The 18,872-nt window shown below is 36.5% G+C and overlaps 2 protein-coding genes across 12 annotated transcripts in view; one reads left to right on the top strand and one right to left on the bottom strand.

The window, feature by feature from the left end:
• NXPE2 (neurexophilin and PC-esterase domain family member 2) overlaps window positions 1-18,872 on the bottom strand; it is a 349,427-nt gene that overhangs the window by 250,524 nt on the left and 80,031 nt on the right. The window lies entirely within an intron of this gene.
• NXPE1 (neurexophilin and PC-esterase domain family member 1) overlaps window positions 3,298-18,872 on the top strand; it is a 40,948-nt gene continuing 25,373 nt past the window's right edge. For 2 of the 10 annotated variants that reach the window (NM_001367953.1, XM_047426373.1), the window contains exons 1-4: window positions 3,298-3,381; window positions 10,299-10,327; window positions 11,738-11,796; window positions 11,968-12,076. In NM_001367953.1, coding sequence (NP_001354882.1) covers window positions 11,978-12,076 — 99 coding nt within the window. In that variant the 5' untranslated portion in view covers window positions 3,298-3,381; window positions 10,299-10,327; window positions 11,738-11,796; window positions 11,968-11,977. Of the gene's footprint in view, window positions 4,154-8,649; window positions 9,492-10,298; window positions 10,328-11,093; window positions 11,206-11,737; window positions 11,797-11,967; window positions 12,077-18,872 lie in introns of those variants that run through there. The other 8 variants (NM_001395504.1, XM_011542596.4, XM_047426371.1 and 5 more) reach the window with 8 other exon arrangements.

The raw sequence follows: 18,872 nt of genomic DNA, 5'->3' as shown, positions 1-18,872 counted from the left end.
ACTTCCAGAAAGAGGGCCCCTCTTTTCCTGGAGAACTGTACCTTCCCCACTTTATAGCATGCTACTGAGACTCTGAGACTCTCAATCATGTGATTTTTGCCTATTTTTGGTGCCTACTGGTTCATCAAAACACTCTTCCCCCAAACCCTTCATAAGTGATTGGTACTAGCACAGTTGATTAGAGTTGTTGGTTTTTTTCTGTGACTTAATATAAATTCTGAAAAGAAATGGGTCTCTCTCATTCTGAGATCTTGAACACCAACGACCATGTATGGCTTAAGCATGTTAGGACTATCTTGCTGCATTATCTTGAGAGCAAGCATCTCTAAGAAAATAGGACAGGAGAGCCTACAGGCTTAGAGAGAAGCTTGATTACATTGTTTGAACCACAGATCGAGCCTTATCTGAAGCTAGATTAATTCCTAAGACTTCCCACTCATATGAGTCATTAAGTATACTTTTTCCTTTAGCTTGTGTGATTGGATACAACGACTGAAAGAGATAATTTACTTCTGTAAAGTCAACTTGACTCTGGATAGTAATAAATAAGAGAGATTACAGATGCAGTTGTGAAAGTTGTTACAGAGTCTAGGAAAATGGCATAATTAAATAGTCCCAGGATTTATGTTTGATATCAAACAGAACTTGTTGGATATCCTGATGAGAAATATGTAAAATAATAGTATTTCTGTCTTTTCCTATGATTCCTACTGAAATCAGTAAAGGTGGACACAGAGTTTAACAGAGACAGCCATGAGGTATGACCTCTCCACATATCATATGGAAGCACTGAGAATGTGTGCAAGGGCTGGGAAGACAGAGCAGTGCTGTGCATAATCCCCAAGAGGGAAGAAGAGAGCATGGACTCTCAGAAGACTGGATATTGGCACTCAGCACCAGGAAATATTTCTAACCACTCTCCCAGAAGAAAATGCAATAAATAAACCCAACATTTACAGGGAGGCTAGCAGAAAATTTCAAATGCAAAGATGAACACATAACCAAAAATTACCAATCATTTGAAAGAGACTAACACTTGAAAGAGAGGCATAAAGCACAATAATCAGAAGAAATTGACATGCCAAGAAAACAAAGTTAAAAGGACAGTTGATACAAGAATTTAGAATAAGTGTGTTTAATTACCAGACTGATGTGAGAGGATATTGCAGCCATACTTAGAGTTAACTAGATATTTGTTAAATTTAAAATATGATACGTGAAATAAAGAAAAACTTGAGGGACACACTAAAGTTCAAAATGAAAACAATAAACTGGAGAAATAAAATGTTAACTCAAGAATTCTTGCAGAATACAGAATAAAAGGAAAGTGTGATCAAAATTATGAAAGAAAAGTTAACAGATATTAGATCTCAGGTCTAATGGGCCATTAAAAGCGCCAAACATGATGAAGATAAAAAGATCTGCATAAAATTTCATAATACCAAGGATGAAGAGAAAAATGCTACAAAGATTCACAATTATACTAACTTTGACATCAGACATTTCATAAATGACATTGGATGCATGAAGAGAATGAAACAGTATCCTCAAGGCTAAGAAGAAAAATATTTTTCACCTAATTCTATAGCAAGTAAATTTATCATCTATTTAGGAAGAAAAAATATGTACTCAGTCTAATACTGGTCCCCTCTGAAAGAGCTACCAAAGACTTTACAAGATAAGAAACAAATTGAGTAGTGAGGAGTAGGTTTTAGAAACAATATTGGTTAAAGAAACCAAGGTAACAAACAATATTGCCTAATTGTGAGTGAGGCAATATGTTCATATGAACTGTTGACACATGCAATAACTTGGATGGACATCGTGGACGTTACGCTGAGTGGGAGAAAAAAGCCAATCTCAAAATTTACTCCCATGCATAAATAGTAGTAGTTGGGGTGGTGATAGTAGTAGTTGCTAATTATTTAGTGCTTAAACTAAGTGTCAGAAACTGTTTTTAAATGTTGTACATGTATTAATTCATTTAATCCTATGAGTACTTAGCACAGTACTAATAATACTTGTGATCTTCAAAACTAAATCTTACAAATTGGCACAGGGTCTGGGCATCCAGGCTTAGAAAGAGAGATGAAGTTAGATTTATGTTACAGAGCTGAAGTAACAGTCACATGACAAATATGAAGGTTCCAGAGGGAAGGGCATGAGGCATGAGAGAAAGGTCTCCAATATGTAGTCAGTAAAATATTATTCAGCACTAAAGAAATAAGCTATCAAGCCACAAAAAGACAGAGAAACTGAAATCCGTATCGCTAAGAGAAAAGCCAATCTGGGACAGCTACACACTGTATGATTGCAGCTATGTGACATTCTGTAAAAGTCAAAACCATGGAGACAGTAAGAAAACCAGTGGTGACCAGGGGTTAGAGGGGAAAGAAGGATTAATAGGCCTAATTATTCATATACACCCATATATTCCCTTTCATGTTACAGGCATTTGGCATAGCAGAAGTTACAGCAACATTTACTGTATTGGTGAATTAAATAATGTTTATGATAATGACGAGTTAATGAACCATATCCCCTTTCCCTAACTCAGAGCAAATAGTCCTTCCCCATTTATTAGATATCCTTTTCAAACCGATAAAAGATCCAGCTGGGAAAAGTGGCTCATGCCTGTAATCCCAGCACTTTGGGTGGCCGAGGAAGACAGACCACTTGAGCCCAGGAGTTCAAGACCAGCCTGGGCAACATGGTAAGACCCCATCTCTACAAAATACAAATTAAAAATATTAGCCAGGTGTGGCAGCATGCACCTGTAGCCCCTAGGCCCAAGGCAGAAGGATGGCTTGGGCCCAGGAGTTCGAGGTTGCAGTGAGCTATGATCACGCCACTGCACTCCAGCCTGGGCAACAGAGCAAAACCTTGTCCAAAAAAAAAAAAAAAAGAAAAAAAAAGAATTCTCAATCACCCACCAGTTCTCTGCATGGTGTCCACTGACAATTTGTTCTCTTGTTTGGAGTTGTCGTGAGACTTCAGATTTTCTGAGGAAAGCCTATCCATAGAGTCACTTGGGGTATTTTTACACTATGACTTCAAGGACCACAGCTGTTTCAGAACTAAGAGGTTTTCCATTCCCAAGGGTCACCAGTAACATGGAGAGAGAAGGAATCTCAAAGAATACCCGAGTAACACCCAGTTAACAGAGGCTGTGGAATTATCTAATTGTCAGTTAATTGTACTACTGTTTATTGCCTCTTCAAATCTCCACCCCAAGATAAGCCAATTTACGAGGAAAACAGACTGATGAAAATAAATGTGTTCACAGACAAGGAACAAAAACATTTTACACAGCCACAAGAGCCAGTTAAGAACTCACAGGTACTTTTCCAGCCACCCAGATAGGAGAGATCATTAAAACAGGTGAGTAAGCAAAACTATGGAGACTGCCTTTCTCTATTTCTAATCTTGCCAGTGGTCAGTGGAGGGCAGGGAAGAACAAAGCAAAAGAAATTAGAAAGACTGTGTCTGCTGAGGGGTTCTCTCAAGTCAGAGAAAGATAAGAAAAGGGAGAAAGCTCAGAAGAAAGTGTGGGAAACAAAAAAAAAAACTGATAGTGAGAGCCTCTCTTACTGACAAGGATAGGCTGGTTTTGACGGTGAGACAGCATCAAGATAAAATATTTCTCTAATAACCAACCAGCAAAAGTCCCCAGTGCTTTGTGGGAAGCAAGCATGGATACAGTCACTCAACCTAACATCTAGTTGGAGAGAGGAAGAAGGACATCAAAAATACCTGTTTACAACTGATATTTCTTTGCCTTGTTTTATGTATGACATTGTTTGGGTGGAAAATGTATGAATATGTCACAGGAATTCAAAATACGGGAGAGATCGTTGTGGTCTAGAGTTATGCTGGAAAGTTTCCTGTAGAGATTGCCCCTGAGCTGGGGATTCACTGACTATAGAGTCTAGATTGGTGCAGGGGCAGGCCACCCCAGGTGGGCAGTAGGATGAGTCATAAACAAAGCCAGAAAAGCAGGAAGGATTCTTTTTTAATTTTTGTCTTTGAGTATGTGTGTATCCATGTATTGTGCTTTGTATGTATATTTTTAATTTACATAAAAATGTGATAAAGATTTATGTTTATTTCTTTCTTCACTTAGAGCTGTTTTTAAGAGCTCTTCATATTACAGGTAAATCTAGTGAGTTGTATCTAACTGTTGGATAGTATCCCACAATACACATCCACTACATGTTTCTTAACCATTTCATAGTAATACATATTAAAGTCTATTTAATTCCCTACAATTACAGCTATACATATAATCAACTGAAAACAAACTTTGTATGTGATTCTTTATGGACCTGACTGAGAAGTCCTCTGTGATGTATCCAGAATGAATTGCTTGGACATAGGGCATAGATAAACACAAACTAACAGAAATATTGCCATTCTGCTTTCAAAACGATCATGTTAATTTGTACTCTTACATAGCACAGCAGAGTTATGTATAAAGATCCAATCTATATTGTGACCTAGTTCAGCTTAAGTCCATAACAGGAGGATTGTTTAGCTTTAGAAAATATACGAATGTAATACATCACATTTAAACATAAAAGTTTAAAAATTCATATAATTACCTCAATGAATCAGAAAAGGCCTTTGTCAATAACTCAACTTCCATTAGTAATAGAAACACTTCACAAACTTTCTTAAAAGAGAACTTCCTCAATCTAATAGAAGGCATTAAGAAAAGCAAATATCACAAATCCAACATCATATATTTAATTACACATAGTAAAATGTTGAAACTAACTATGAAAACAAGGCAAACGTACCCAATATGGCCACTTCTAATCATCTTTGTTCTCTATGTGTGCCTATATAAAAGCACTATTAAAATAAAGCACTTGCATTTCTACACATCAGCCACAGATATTTGTTTGGAAAATGAAATAAAAAGAAAAACATATAGAATGTGCATATATATGGATATATATATACACACACACATAAACACATATACATAGATGTGTGTATAGTTTATATTTATAATTATAAATAAAATTTATGTTTCCCAAAATAGTAGACTTGCTTATAGTCTCCTTTTGAGAGCAACTAGAAAAGCTAGAGGATGTTATATTTGATCTGTTAAGCGTCAGAGAGCAACTGGGGCAGTGAGGGGTTGAGAGATCTAGATTCTAGAGAGAAAGCAAGAGAGGAACAAAGGGCAGTTAGGGAAATAGAAGGAAAATGAGGTAACATATTCAAAGTGCTGATGCTTTTAACCACCAAAAACAAAAATAAATAAATAACACTTGTCAATCTAGAATTGTATAGCCCGCAAAAGAAACCCTCAAAATGAAAGCAAAATAAGATTTTTTAAAATGTAACCTTGAGAATTTGTCACTAGAAGATGTCTTACAGAATATTAAAGATAGTTCTTGAAGCAGAAGATAAATTCTCCCAAATGACAGTAGAGAACGGCAAAGAAGAATGAAAAAGAAGGAAACTAAATGTACAAATATAAATGAACAAGGATTTTATATATATATATATATATATATATATATATATATATATGTATTATATATAATATATTGTGGTGTTTTAAATATTCCTAGAATTAAACCAGTCAGTGGTGAGTGCCTATAGTCCCAGCTACATGGGAGGCTAAGGTAGAAGGATCACTTGAGCCCAGTAGTTCCAGTCCAACCTAGGCAGCATATTTCTTTTCCATCTCTAAAAGAAATAAAATAAATATTTCTAGAACTGAAATGCCTGACTATAGCAAGAAAATGTGAAAGAGTTAAATGTAAATGGAGTACAGTTTTCTAAGGTCCCTCATTTCCTAATAATTAGTAAAAGTACCAATTTATATTAGACTTCATTAAGTCAAAGATGCATATTGAAATTTCCAAAATAGAGTAGAAATTATTAAAGTAGTTTTTATAACAAGCTAAATGAGAATGGAAATAGAATAATTTTAGAGTTTTTGACTAATACACAAGAGGTCAAAAAGGGGGCCGGGCACGGTAGCTCATGCCTGTAATCCCAGAACTTTGGGAGGCTGAGGCACGCAGATTACTTGAGGTCAGGAATTCGAGACCAGCCTGGCCAACATGGTGAAACCCCGTCTCTACTAAAACTACAAAAAATTGGCCAGGTGTGGTGGCTCACGCCTGTAATCCCAGCTACTCAGGAGGCTGAGGCACTATAATTGCTTGAACCCAGGAGACAGAGGTTGCAGTGAGCCAAGATAGTGCCACTGCACTCCAACTTGGGCAACAGAGTGAGACTCTGTCTCAAAAAAAAAAAAAAGTCAAAAAGGGAGAAAATGGAATAGAAATAGAGAAGGTGGGACAAATAAAAACCAAATAGTAAGATAAAATTACATAGATATATCAACGATAATATGAAATATAAATGGACTAGGAAGTTCCAGCTGCAAAAAATGTCAGAGTGGCTTAGATGAGACTAATATTTCTCATAGAACAGTATTAAACTCTGGAAAAAAATACATTTTAAAAAATGATATGAAAGCACTAGAAAAAGGCCAAAAACTGGCAGAAACTAGAGGGAATTTGACACTTAAAAGTAGGGAATCATGCTGCGTGGGAGCCAGCTTTAAGGGCTCTTATCCTGACAATATACCTCAGTGTGTACTGTGCAAAGCAACTTGAATTCAAGCAGAAAACTGCAGACTTGCAGCCTGGAGATGTCACAGGATGGAGTTCAAGGCAATTGACCAGGGAAATTCCAGGAGAAAGGCCTTAGAAGAAAAAGCCCTGAAATCTACTCTCAAATCTTTGACTGATCCCTGAGCTCTGTGTATCCAAGGGAGACTCCACAAAGTGTAGCACAGAACAACTGCTGAATAAGTAGAGATTTAATCTGTTGCTCACTGAAGGAGGAAACAGAGTTTGTAGGTTTTGAGTTCCAGTAAAAAGGAGGAACGTGGTGTAAAAAGCCCAGGCTTTTCAAGACCCACCTTAAAGTAAATAAAACCAACTCTCCATAAATTCAAACTGAGAGGTATAAACTGTTTTCATGAATTGGAAAACTCAATATTGTTACTAGAGCAATTCTCCCCAAATTTACCTACAGATTAAGAGCAATAAATTCCAGTAGGCTTTTTGTAGATTTGTCAAAAGTTAAACATTTACTTACCATATGGCCCTGTCATTCCACCCTTAGGTACTTACCAAAAAGAAATTAAAACATTTGTCCATATAGAGAACCATATATGAATATTCAGAGCAGCTCTATTCACAATAGCCCCAATCTTTAAACAACCCAAATATTTATCAAATGAGGAATAGATATTATGAGATATTGCTCAATAATGAAAAGGAACAAACTACTGATAAATGCAACCTTGATGAATCTTCAAAAACATAATCATAAGTCCAAGAAGCCAGACACAAAAGAGTACATTCTACATTATTCCATTTATATGAAACTCTAGAAAAAGAAATCTCATCTGTAGTGCCAAAAACTAAATCTGTGATTATCCGGGGCCAGAAACACGTTAGGCATGGGCAGCGGGGCATGCACAGGAGGAGGACAAAATTGACAAGGAAATGGAACTTTGGGGTGGTGGTAATATTCTACTTATTGATTGTGATGGGTACACAGGTGTCTACATTTGCCAACATTCATAAAACAGTGCACTTAAAATGCATGTATTCTTGGCTGGGCGTGGTGGCTCACGCCTGTAATCCCAGCACTTTGGGAGGCCAAGGCAGGCAGATCACAAGGTCAGAAAATCGAGACCATCCTGGCCAACATGGTGAGACTCTGTCTCTACTAAAATATAAAAAATTAGCCGGGCATGGTGGCACATACCTGTTGTAGTCCCAGCTACTCAGGAGGCTGAGGCAGGGGAATCACTTGAACCCGGGAGGTGGAGGTTGCAGTGAGCTGAGATCTCACCACTGTACTCCAGCCTGGGCAACAGAGCAAGACTCCATCTCAAAAAAAAAATCATGTATTCTTATTGAATGTAAATTATACCTCAGTAATGCTGTAAAAACAAAACTGAAACAATTCCCAGTTAATGCCCCAGAAATATCTATACCAGACAGCAACAGTAATGACAAAAAAAAGAACCACAAATTGAAGAGATACTTAATAGGTAGATGTAGACAGGCTGGACTGCCATGAAAAAAAAAAAAGGACTCCCAAGATGCAATGACTTAAACAAGAAAACAAGATAGGGATTTATGTCTCATGTAACTATCTAGTTAGGGTGTGCACCTTGAGGTCATCCAGGAAGGTAAACATCAAGCTCTGCTATCCCCTGCCAGTGGTCTTATTCTAGGGTTGGCAGGCCCACAAATGGGCCCATGCACAGAGTTTAGGAGGCCTGTGAACCTGAATGGGAAAAAAATAACACCTTTATTTTCACTAGCTTCTAAATAAAGTTTAGTAATCTCTTCAATTATGAATTATGACAACAAATCACGGTAATATTAGCAATGCCTGTGGCTTAGCGACTTGAAGTCACAGATTATTTTCATATCACAGTACTGTTAATAAAGAATCTTGAAATATCACTCATAATTATTATTGCTTTGAAATTACTGTAAATATAAGACCTGGCTGCTAAATTTTGTTATTTAGCATGTTAATTAAAAAATGCTATTTGACTATATAACAAATTAGTTTATTTAAAATGTTGATAACTATACCTCAGTATAATTGGCTTTTGTTATAATTCTATACATTTTATTTTATGTATTTGGAAAAGAGGTCATAGGACTGATTATCAAAGGGCCCATGTCACAAAGAATGTTTAAGAACCCCCTGTTCTGGAATATTGTCATCACCTCTGTGGTCTAAGCTAGGCTGCTGCCCCCTCTCATTTACACAAGTAGGAAGAGGAAAGAGAACCTGGAGGAGGTATGGCACACATGGCCTCTGCTTACATATCAGAGAACTCAGTGTCCTGGCCACAGTCAAATACAATAGAGGCCAGGAAAGGTTGTGTATCTCGGCTAACACATGTCCAGCTACAAGTTTCTATTACAGCTGATGAAAGAGACAACTAGCGGGCTCTGTACATTGATTCAATCCTGTCTGAGGATGACCATATAGAAGCATAAGGAGAGGAGACAAGTGAGTCAGATAGTGGCCAAGTTTCTGATTTGGGATACCATTCACAAAGATGGGGAGAAGAAAAAGTAGAAGACATTTGGAAGAAGAAAAAACATTGCAATTGGACAAGTTGACTTTGAGATTCCTATGAGCAGGGGTATACTGACAAACCTGCTCTCCCAGAAAACAAAAACAAAAATCCTGTTTATAGCCTTTGATGACTTCCACGATCTAAATGTACCCATCATGGCCTATTTCAAGCTACCAAGATGATGTCACTGAATGAGCAGTTGGAAAGAAATGTGCATGAATAGGCTTTCATAAGCCAGCAAAGGCTGGGTTCAGCTCACCTCTACCAGTGAGGATTTCCAAATGGAGGCATCTTAAAGACACTGGGATATGCAGAGCTCAAGCTAAGGAGTAGAATCTAGGTGAGACATTGATTTCGGAATAAATGAGATTATCTGGCCATAGGATTCTAAGAAGTCTGATTTGCAGTTACTTATGGCTTAGACAAATGTGATCTTGATTAAGGGTTCCAAGTAGAAAATAGATGCAAAAATAAGCATGGTATAGAGGATGGGGTTAATAAATTTCCAAAACTCTGCCATCAGTAAAATTCCGTCTGACAAAGAAGCTCTCTGGCCACTCTCAAAGGAGCCAACTCTAACCAAAGTTGGTAGTGCATCAGTGGAAATATCAGACCAGGGATATGAACCACAGAACTGCTTGGTTGTCAGGACTGGGATCTTGTGACATATCAGCAATCCAAGATAGGTAGATTCAGCCTGAGGTGATTCTCCTCTCGAATGAGGGACTCTCCGAGGGAATCTCCTCTAGAATGTCCATCAGTCTAATGAAGGCACAGACACATAAGGAGATACAACAGTATAGCACATATTATTACAAAGATATGCATACGAGACTATAAGAGCACAAAGGAATAAATTATCAATGAAAACGATTGAGGAAAGAACAGTTGGCATTAAAGCTCAAACCCAAACAATGAATAGGAATTTTCTAAGTTTACCAGGAAGCATGGTGGAGATTGAGCAGTGTTGGTGCAGTGAGGGAGGAGGTAATAAGAATTTCAGGAAGCACAGCTTGGGCAAAGACTCAGGAGCTTAGAAGAACAAGGTTTCTTCAGAGATCAACAAGAATTTGGTATTTCTACTACTGTATTCTAATCCAACATAAATGTTTATTTCATTAATTTTGCTGCTTCTCCTTATTTTCAGTGCATTCTGTGCTACCTGACACCTATTGGGTAAGTACCCAGTATTTTACAGAATAAGTTTAAAGATCTATGAAAAGGAGATTGAGAATCTAAGATTTATAAAAGTGCAATAGCAATCATACTTTTTTTTCAATGCTGCTGAAACATATCCATACGCACTACTTTCTAGGCAAGGAAAAATGAATCAGATGAGACATTATAACTCATACTTTACAAAATTCACTTAAAAGTCAGAAAACCTGGATCAGTCTCGGGGGCAGGAGGGGTCAGAGTAGCCCCTTGATTGATTTCTTCTTCTTTGTCCTATTGAACATGCTTTTTGTACATTCCGAGAAAATATGAAATTTCAGTGGACAGAAGTTGAAGTTGGTCTAAAAATCGGGATTCTGTTTTGAAATTATTTATTCAACAAATATTGTGCTTGTCAGGCACCATGCTAGACACTGGACATGGAATGCTGCGATAGACATTATTCCAATTCTTCAGAAATTGACAGTCTTTTGGAAATCAAAAAGTAAATAATCTATTGCAATATAGTGTGTGACACAAATTAGAGCTGCCCCTTGTCTTCTCTTCTGTATTCATTCATTTGGTCTCAACACTCAACACCTCTACAAGTTCTCTCACACCACGCTTCAGTAATTGGGAAGTCATAGATCAATCAGAAGGTAGTGATTCAATATGAGTTGCAACTGTGTACTATATCTTGTTTAAAATAATTTCATCTTGGACTTCCCAAAGGTTAACCAACTCTAAACTGATCCTTTGTTCTCTCACTTCCATTTTGCCTGTGAAGTATCTAAATTGCTCTGCGCATCCAGATTCAAAACACAGAACTTTTTGGATTCCACAAAACGAAACCACTCACACAAAACCTTTCACACAATTGAGACTTCACTGAGGATTTGGTAAGGGACAAAGAGGCAAGGCTTTACATTTTGTTTCCTAAAATAAGCTATTTAAATCATATAATTTTATTTCTGTTCTCCATGACAGTACTAACATGGGCATGGTATGGAGGAGCTTCTTTCTCTCTCTCTCCATCTCTCTCCCTCATTGTCTCTTTCTATCTCCTTCTTCCCCCTTCCTCACACAGTGCCCAGCCTTATTGGATCATCTCTTCTTTATTATGCAGAGTAATTCATTCCTGAAGGAGTTTCCATTTCCAAATTTCAGACTTGGCATTCAGCAAAACAAAAGCTACCCATCCCACCTCCCTGCCCAGTTAACAGGACTGGCTTTCTTTAAAGGCATTTTACAGATTATGTTTTGTAATACGAGCATATTCCTGTGGTTCCATCCACTATCCCTAATCTTCCCCCAAAAGACATGCTGATGAATTAAGTTTTCTGCTTCTCATTGTAATTGTTATGTCTTGTAACTAAGAAAATACAGAGGGCATTAAGAGAACCTATAAGGTGACTTTGACTTCCATTTCAGGGTCCTGGAAGGAGGAAGCAACAATCCTGAGTGAAACCTCGACAAGAAGTATCCAATAGGTAGACAAAGGGATTGGGGGTATGAGTTGTTAGTTAGCAGAGGGAAAGAAGACAGTGACTCACAAAAGGAGAACAAAATGTTGGAGGCAAATTACAAGTTATAAATAAAATAATGAGTGAGTACAGAGAGATTCACTTCTCACGACTCCTCTCTTGTGTCATCTCTCCTAGGACATTCGTCATGTCCTCAAATACAATGCTTCAAAAAACGCTGCTGATCTTGATCTCTTTTTCAGTAGTAACCTGGATGATTTTTATAATTTCTCAGAACTTCACAAAGGTAGGAGCAAATCACCTTTGATGCAGATCACACAGTAAGCCCTCACCTGTGTGACGTGCCTCAAGTCAGTCCCACTCCATTAGTCCTGCCCCTCCTCCCCCACCTCAACTACTGCCCTATCTTCTCTCTCTCTACCTAACTCCTTAGAGGCATTGTGGACACCAACAACCTCTATTTCTTCATTTCCCATTCATCCTCAGTCCATTCCAATTAGGATTTGACCTTGCACACGCTCCCAAAATGGCCCTTGTTAAAGCTACCAACTTCCTCATCAGTAAATAACTTATTTAAACACTCAATCTGGCCATGTAAATCCAGCTTGTCATTTTATCTTTTTATTGTGTCTATGATTTCCTTTTCCATGCAAAAGTTATTTTTTTAGCAGTACTGTTTCCCTTATAACATGTTTCTGTGTGTTAAGTCACAGTTAGAAAGTTTTTCCCGCTCAAAGATTATACAGGTATTCATCCATGTTTTCTTATTTTTTTACTTGTATAGTTACATTGTCTATAAATATCTGATCCACTTGGAATTTACGCTGTTGAAAGATATAAGACATCAATCTCATTTAACTTTTTCCATATGACTCTCCAATTATCCTAATCTTCTTATTTAAAATTCCATTCTATATCCTCACTGATGTTGAGTGCGGCCTCCGTAGCATACTAAATTTGTATATATAATGAGGTCTATTTCTGATTTTCAATTCTGTTACATTGTCTTTTTATTCATGCATCAATACCATCCTACTTTAATTACAAAGATTTTTACAAGTAAGTTTTAATATCTAGTAGAGCTAATCCCACCCACACCCAACACTTTTGGCTTTTCTATTCCCCATACGTTTTGTAACTATTCTCTTTCACTTATCCTTTCAAGTGAACTTTCTAACTGGCCTGTCTGACCCAGAAGATATTTAGGACATTGTTATTGTGATTTTATTAAATGTATAAGTTAACCTTGGAAGACTAAACAACATCCTTATGATGTTAAGTTTTTCTATCCAAGGACATGGTTTCCTTTACATTTGTTCAATTTTGTTTTCTTCAGTAGTGTTTTGTGAGTTTTCCTCATATAAATCTTGGACACGTGTGCTAAATGTACACTTAAGTATTTTATTATCATTTTGCTGCCATATATTGGATTGTCACTTCCATTTTAGCTTCTCTCTATTTTTTGTCTATATACACAAAAGCTATTTTTTTATATATTATTTCCTACTATTTTACTAAATTCTTTTATTATTTGTAGTCATTTCTCCATTGATACTTTGGGGTTTTTCAGATAAATAACAATTGCATCTGAAAATAAAGATTATTTTTATTTCCTTTTCAATTCCAGTGTCTCGAATTGCTTTCTCTTCTCTAACTGCATTAGCTAACACCTCCATCCCAATGTTGAAAGTAATGAGATAGTAGGCATCCTTGTCTTGTTCCTGATTTTGGTGACAAAGCCTTTAGTGTTTCCCTTAAGTAAAATGCAAGCTTTTGAGTTAAAGTATATATTTTATGTGTAGAGGAAATCCATAAATTTCTTTCTGTTGTGTTTTTCAACATGAATCAGTACTAATTTTGTCAAAGTCCTATTGTGCTTTTATGAAGATAATCATGTAATTCCTCACATTAGCTGTATTAATGTGAAGAATTACATTAAAAACGGAACAAAATGTGTATTCCTGGAATAAAACTCTCTGAATTATGATGTATTATTTTTGTGTAATGTTCATTTGGATTGCTTGCCAATATTTTATTTAAGATGTATATCTCAATATTCATAAATCTAAAGTTCTTGGTACAATATTAGGTTTTGGAAAATACATTATACTTATTTCGTAAGAATTGATTTGGAAGCTTTTTGTTTTTATTTGTTTCTAGTGCTCTGAACTTATTTAAGTAATATTGGGATTGACTGATCTTTAAAGTTTGGTAGAATTCCATCAGCCTGGCTTTGTGCATTCAGTAGCAGTGCTCTGCTACTTTTTTCACTATTCTCTATTTTTTTAATGTCACTCAGGTCAATTTTGATAGGTTGTATTTTCTGAGTTATCCATTTTATCTAGATTCTCATATGTATTTGCTTAAAATTGTGAAAATCATCTTGTTACTTTTAAACTTTTCCCCCTTTTCAGGTTTTCCCTCAAAGATGTCTAATTTTGCATATTTGTGTTTTCTTCCTTTTGAATTGATTAGATTCACTAGTGGCTTGTCTATTTTTTTATTTTTTATTCTTTCAAAATAAAACCCAGGTTTTTGTTTCTTCTACTATTTTTCTGTATTTTAATGCATTACTTTTGCTTTTACCTTCCTATCAATTCCTACCTTTTTCTTTCTTTTGATTTACTCTGTTTTCCTTTTTCTAACTTTTTAACTGGGTGTTTAATTCATTTAGTTTTATCTCCTCATTTACATAGGTACTTAATGCTATAAACTTAACTGATAATTCTTTTAGCTGTATCTCATAGATTCTAACATAATATGCATTAATTATAGTTACTTTCAAAATACCCAATTGATTTTATTTATATTTTTCTTTGAGTCACGAGTTGTTTAGAAACATTTTTAACTTCTGAGTGGAATGGTATTTGGGGTTTTTATTTCATAAATCTCTATTAAATACCTGCATTATAAGAATGCTGCCTTTATTATTATTTCTACCAGTTAGCATTTATTGAGGTTTTCTTCATGACCTAAGATATAGAGAATATTTGTAAAGGTTTCATATGTTCCTCTAAAGTTATATTCTCTATTATTAGAATTCAGAGTTCAGTATATATCTACACGATCTGTCTTTATGGTTATTAGTTCTTTAATAGCCTTACTAACTTTGTTCACTTGGCATGCTATAAATAAGTCACATATTAGATGTGGCTATCCTTAAAGTGAATTTCTCTAAGTATTCTTGAATCTCTTATATTTTCTGCTTTAAGCATGTATCTCTGTACTCGGTGCATAAATATTCATTGCTTGTGTTTTAATTATCCTTTTGCATATATGGTATCCTGCTTCATCTCTTAATACTTTTTTGGTTATGAATGTTACCTTATCAGATACCAAGATTTCCTTTCCCTTTTTTTTAATGTGGTATTTAATTGTTCAATCTCTGATTTTCTTAAGATTTAATAAACTTTTTACTTTAGGTTAGTTTCAGGTTTACAGAAAAATTGTAAGAATATTACAGGAAGTTCTTCTATACCCTGTACCCAATATCCTCCATTTCAACATTATTGTAGCATAACCAATAAAACCATACTGATACTTACAATTTGAAGTCCATATATTATTCAGATTTCCTTAATTTCTACCTAATATGCATTTTCTCATCCACAATCCCATCCAGGGTGCCATGTTACATCATTTCTTTTCCTTTTTGAGACAGAGTCTTGCTCTGACACCCAGGCTGGAGTGCAGTAGTGCCATCTCGGCTCACTGCAACCTCTGCCTCCTAGGTTCAAGTGATCCTCCTGCCTCAGCCTCCCGAGTAGCTGGGATGACAAACATGAACCAGCACACCCGGCTAATTTTTATATTTTTTGGGAGAGATGCGTTTCACCATGTTGGCCAGGCTGGTCTCAAACTCCTAACCTCAAGTGATCAACCTGCCTCAGCCTCCCAAAGTGCTGGGATTACAGGCGTGAGCCACCGCACCCAGCCAACATTATATTTCATTGTCACTTCTCTTTAGACTTTCCTTGTTTTTGATGACATTGACAGTTTTAAGGAACAGTGGTCTGGTATTTTGTAAACTGTCCTTCCATGTTAGTTTGTCTGTTATTTTTCTCATGGTTAAACAGAATTCATGGGTTTAGGGAAGGAAGATCACAGAGCTAAGTGGTCTTCCACTCATCACATCACATCAAGGATGCATGCTGTCAATATGACATCACTGATGATGTTAATCTTGATCACCTGGCTGAGCTGATGTTCATCAGGTTTCTCCACAGTAAGATTACTCTTCCTTCTGCCCCACCCTGCTCTTTACTGTACTCTTTCAAAAGAGGTCACTAGGTCAATTCCACACTTAAGGATTGGGCAGTTCTGTTCCATCTCCTTGAGTGGGGAGAATCTGCATACATTATCTGGAATTCTTCTGTACAAGAGATTTGTCTATTATCCCTTACATATTTGTTTATTCAATCATTCATTTACATCAGTGTGAATTCATAGATATTTATTTCATACTTTGGGACATAATCCAACAGTACATTATTTTGTTACTCAAATTGTTCTACTTTGGCCATTGAGAGCTCTTTCCATTGGTTCCTGTGTTCCTTTGTTTGTTTGCTTCTTTTGAGCATTTCTTGCTTTCCGACACTACAAGATGCTTTAGGCTCATCTTGTATATTCCCTGCCCCAGCCCTAGAATCAGCCGTTTATCCAAGGAGCCCTGATTCCTTTCACTGGAGAATGGTATTGGAAACAAAGATCTAGACACTGGCTCTGTTTGTTACTATTGGGGTGTCTTTGCTTCTAGGCCCTCTCAGAAGACAGCGCTCAGAAATATTGGCCAGGCATGGTGCCCCATGCCTGTAATCCTAGCACTTTGGGAGGGTGAGATGGGAGGATCGTTTGAGGCCAGGAATTCGGGACCAGTCTGGTCAACATAGCAAAACCCCATCTCTAAAAAAAAAAAAAGAAAAAGAAAAAATATATATATGTATGATACTAGCCAGTAATACATGCATATCTATAATTATATGTAAAATATCCATTTCAATCTATATTAAGCTAAACATGGGCTCATACTGATATTTCTCTCATCTATCACTACATGGTTCACACACTAGCCTTCACCTACCACATCAATCATGAGGAATCTGGCTCCCACCATCTGTCATCTATTTATTTACTTATTTGTTCATCTCCCAGCATACACATACAATGGTTTCAGAATTGTTAACTGAGAGTACAGTGCTTATATGCAGTTCTTTTTGTCTTTCGCCTTACAGACTCTATTAATTTCCAAAGCAGCTTAGGTCAGCACTTTTATCCAGCAAGGTTATGTCATACATTTGTAATACAGTTAAATTTGTAATACAGTTAAAACACTGTGTTCTACCATTTAGTCCCTCAATCTCCTTATTGATTTTTTTATTTTGCATACATTAAGATTCACTCAGCCAGGGGCAGTGGCTCATGCCTGTAATCCCAGCACTTTGGGAGGCCGAGGTGGGTGGATCGCAAAGTCAAGCTATCGAGACCATCCTGGCCAACATGGTGACATTCCATCTCTATTAAAAAAATACAAAAATTAGCTGGGCGTGGTGGTGTGCCCCTGTAGTCCCAGCTACTTGGGAGGCTAAGGTAGGAGAATCGCTTGAACCTGGAAGGCGGAGGTTACAGTGAGCTGAGTTCACGCCACTGCACTCCAGCCTGGAGACAGGGCAGGAATCTGTCTCAAAAAAAAAAAAAAAAGATCCACTCTTTGTGTTATAAGATTCAATGAGCTTTTGCAGTTTCATGTATACACAACAGTATCATACACAGTAATTTCACTGACCTAAAAAGTCCCCCTCTGATTCACCTATTCAACTTTCTCCCCTCCCCAAATCTCTGGCAACCATTGATTGGTTTTTGATCTCTATAGAACCACCTTTTTCCAGAATGTCATAGTAATGCAGTCATACAGTGCATAGCCTTTTCAGATGGGCTTCTTTCTCTTAGCATTATGCATTTAAGATTCACCTATGTTGTTGCATGGATTGATAGCTCATTTTTCTTATTGCTAAATATTGTCCCACTGTATCAATGTACTACAATTTGTTTATCTATATTCACCTACTGAAGAGCTCTTGGTTGCTTCCAGTTTTGGGCAACTATGATCAAAGCTGCTATAAACATTCATGTGCAGGTATTTGTGTGGACATAAGCATTCAAATCAACTGGATATGTATACAGGAGAAAAACTGCTATATTGAATGGTAAGACTATGTTTAGCTTTATAAGATATTATCAAAGTGTCTTTCAAAGTAGCTGTGCCATTTTGGATTCCCACCAGCAATGAGTGAGAATCCTACTGCTCTACATTCTCACCAGCAACTGGTATTGTCAGGTTTTTTTTTAAATTTTAGCCATTCTAATTGATATGTATTAGTATTTCATTGCTGTTCTAATTTGTCTCCCTGACGAATAAAATTGAGTGTCTTTTTTATATATTTAGTTGTAATGCGTGTCTCTTCTTTGGTGAGGTGTCCATTCAGATCTTTTGCACATTTTAAAATTGTTTTCTCTTATTATTGAGTTTTAAGAGTTCTTTGTATATTCTAGATGAAGTCCTTTACCTGATAAGTGTTTTTAAAATATATTCTCACACTCTATGGCTTATCTCTGCATCCTCTTAACAGTGTCTTTCACAGGGCAGAAGCTTTAATTTTTAATAAAATCTAACTTATCAGTTTTTCTTTCATGGATTGTGCTTTTTATATTATTTCTAAAACCTCATCAACAGCTCAAGTTCACACAGATTTTCATGTGTGTTTTCTTCCAGAAATTTTAGATTTTATATTTATTTAGGTCTGTCATCCATTTAGAGTTAACTTTTCTGTCAATTGTGAGGTCTGTGTCTAGGCTCATTTTTTTATGTATGAACGTCTAATTGTTCCAGCACTATTTGCTGAAAAGACTCATTTTTCCATCAAATTGCCTTTGTGCCTATGTCAAAAATCAGTTGATAATATTTGTATGCATTTGTTTATTGGCTTTCTATTATGTTCCCTTGATTAATCTGTTCATTCTTTCACCAACACTGCATTGTCTTGATAACGGCAGCTTTGTAATAAGCCTTGAAGTGGGACAATGAG

The sequence above is a fragment of the Homo sapiens genome, chromosome 11 (genome assembly GCF_000001405.40).
Source record: "Homo sapiens chromosome 11, GRCh38.p14 Primary Assembly".
Taxonomy (NCBI): domain Eukaryota; kingdom Metazoa; phylum Chordata; class Mammalia; order Primates; family Hominidae; genus Homo; species Homo sapiens.
Note: the sequence above shows the minus strand (reverse complement) of the source record. Positions and strands in the feature narration are given on the sequence as shown.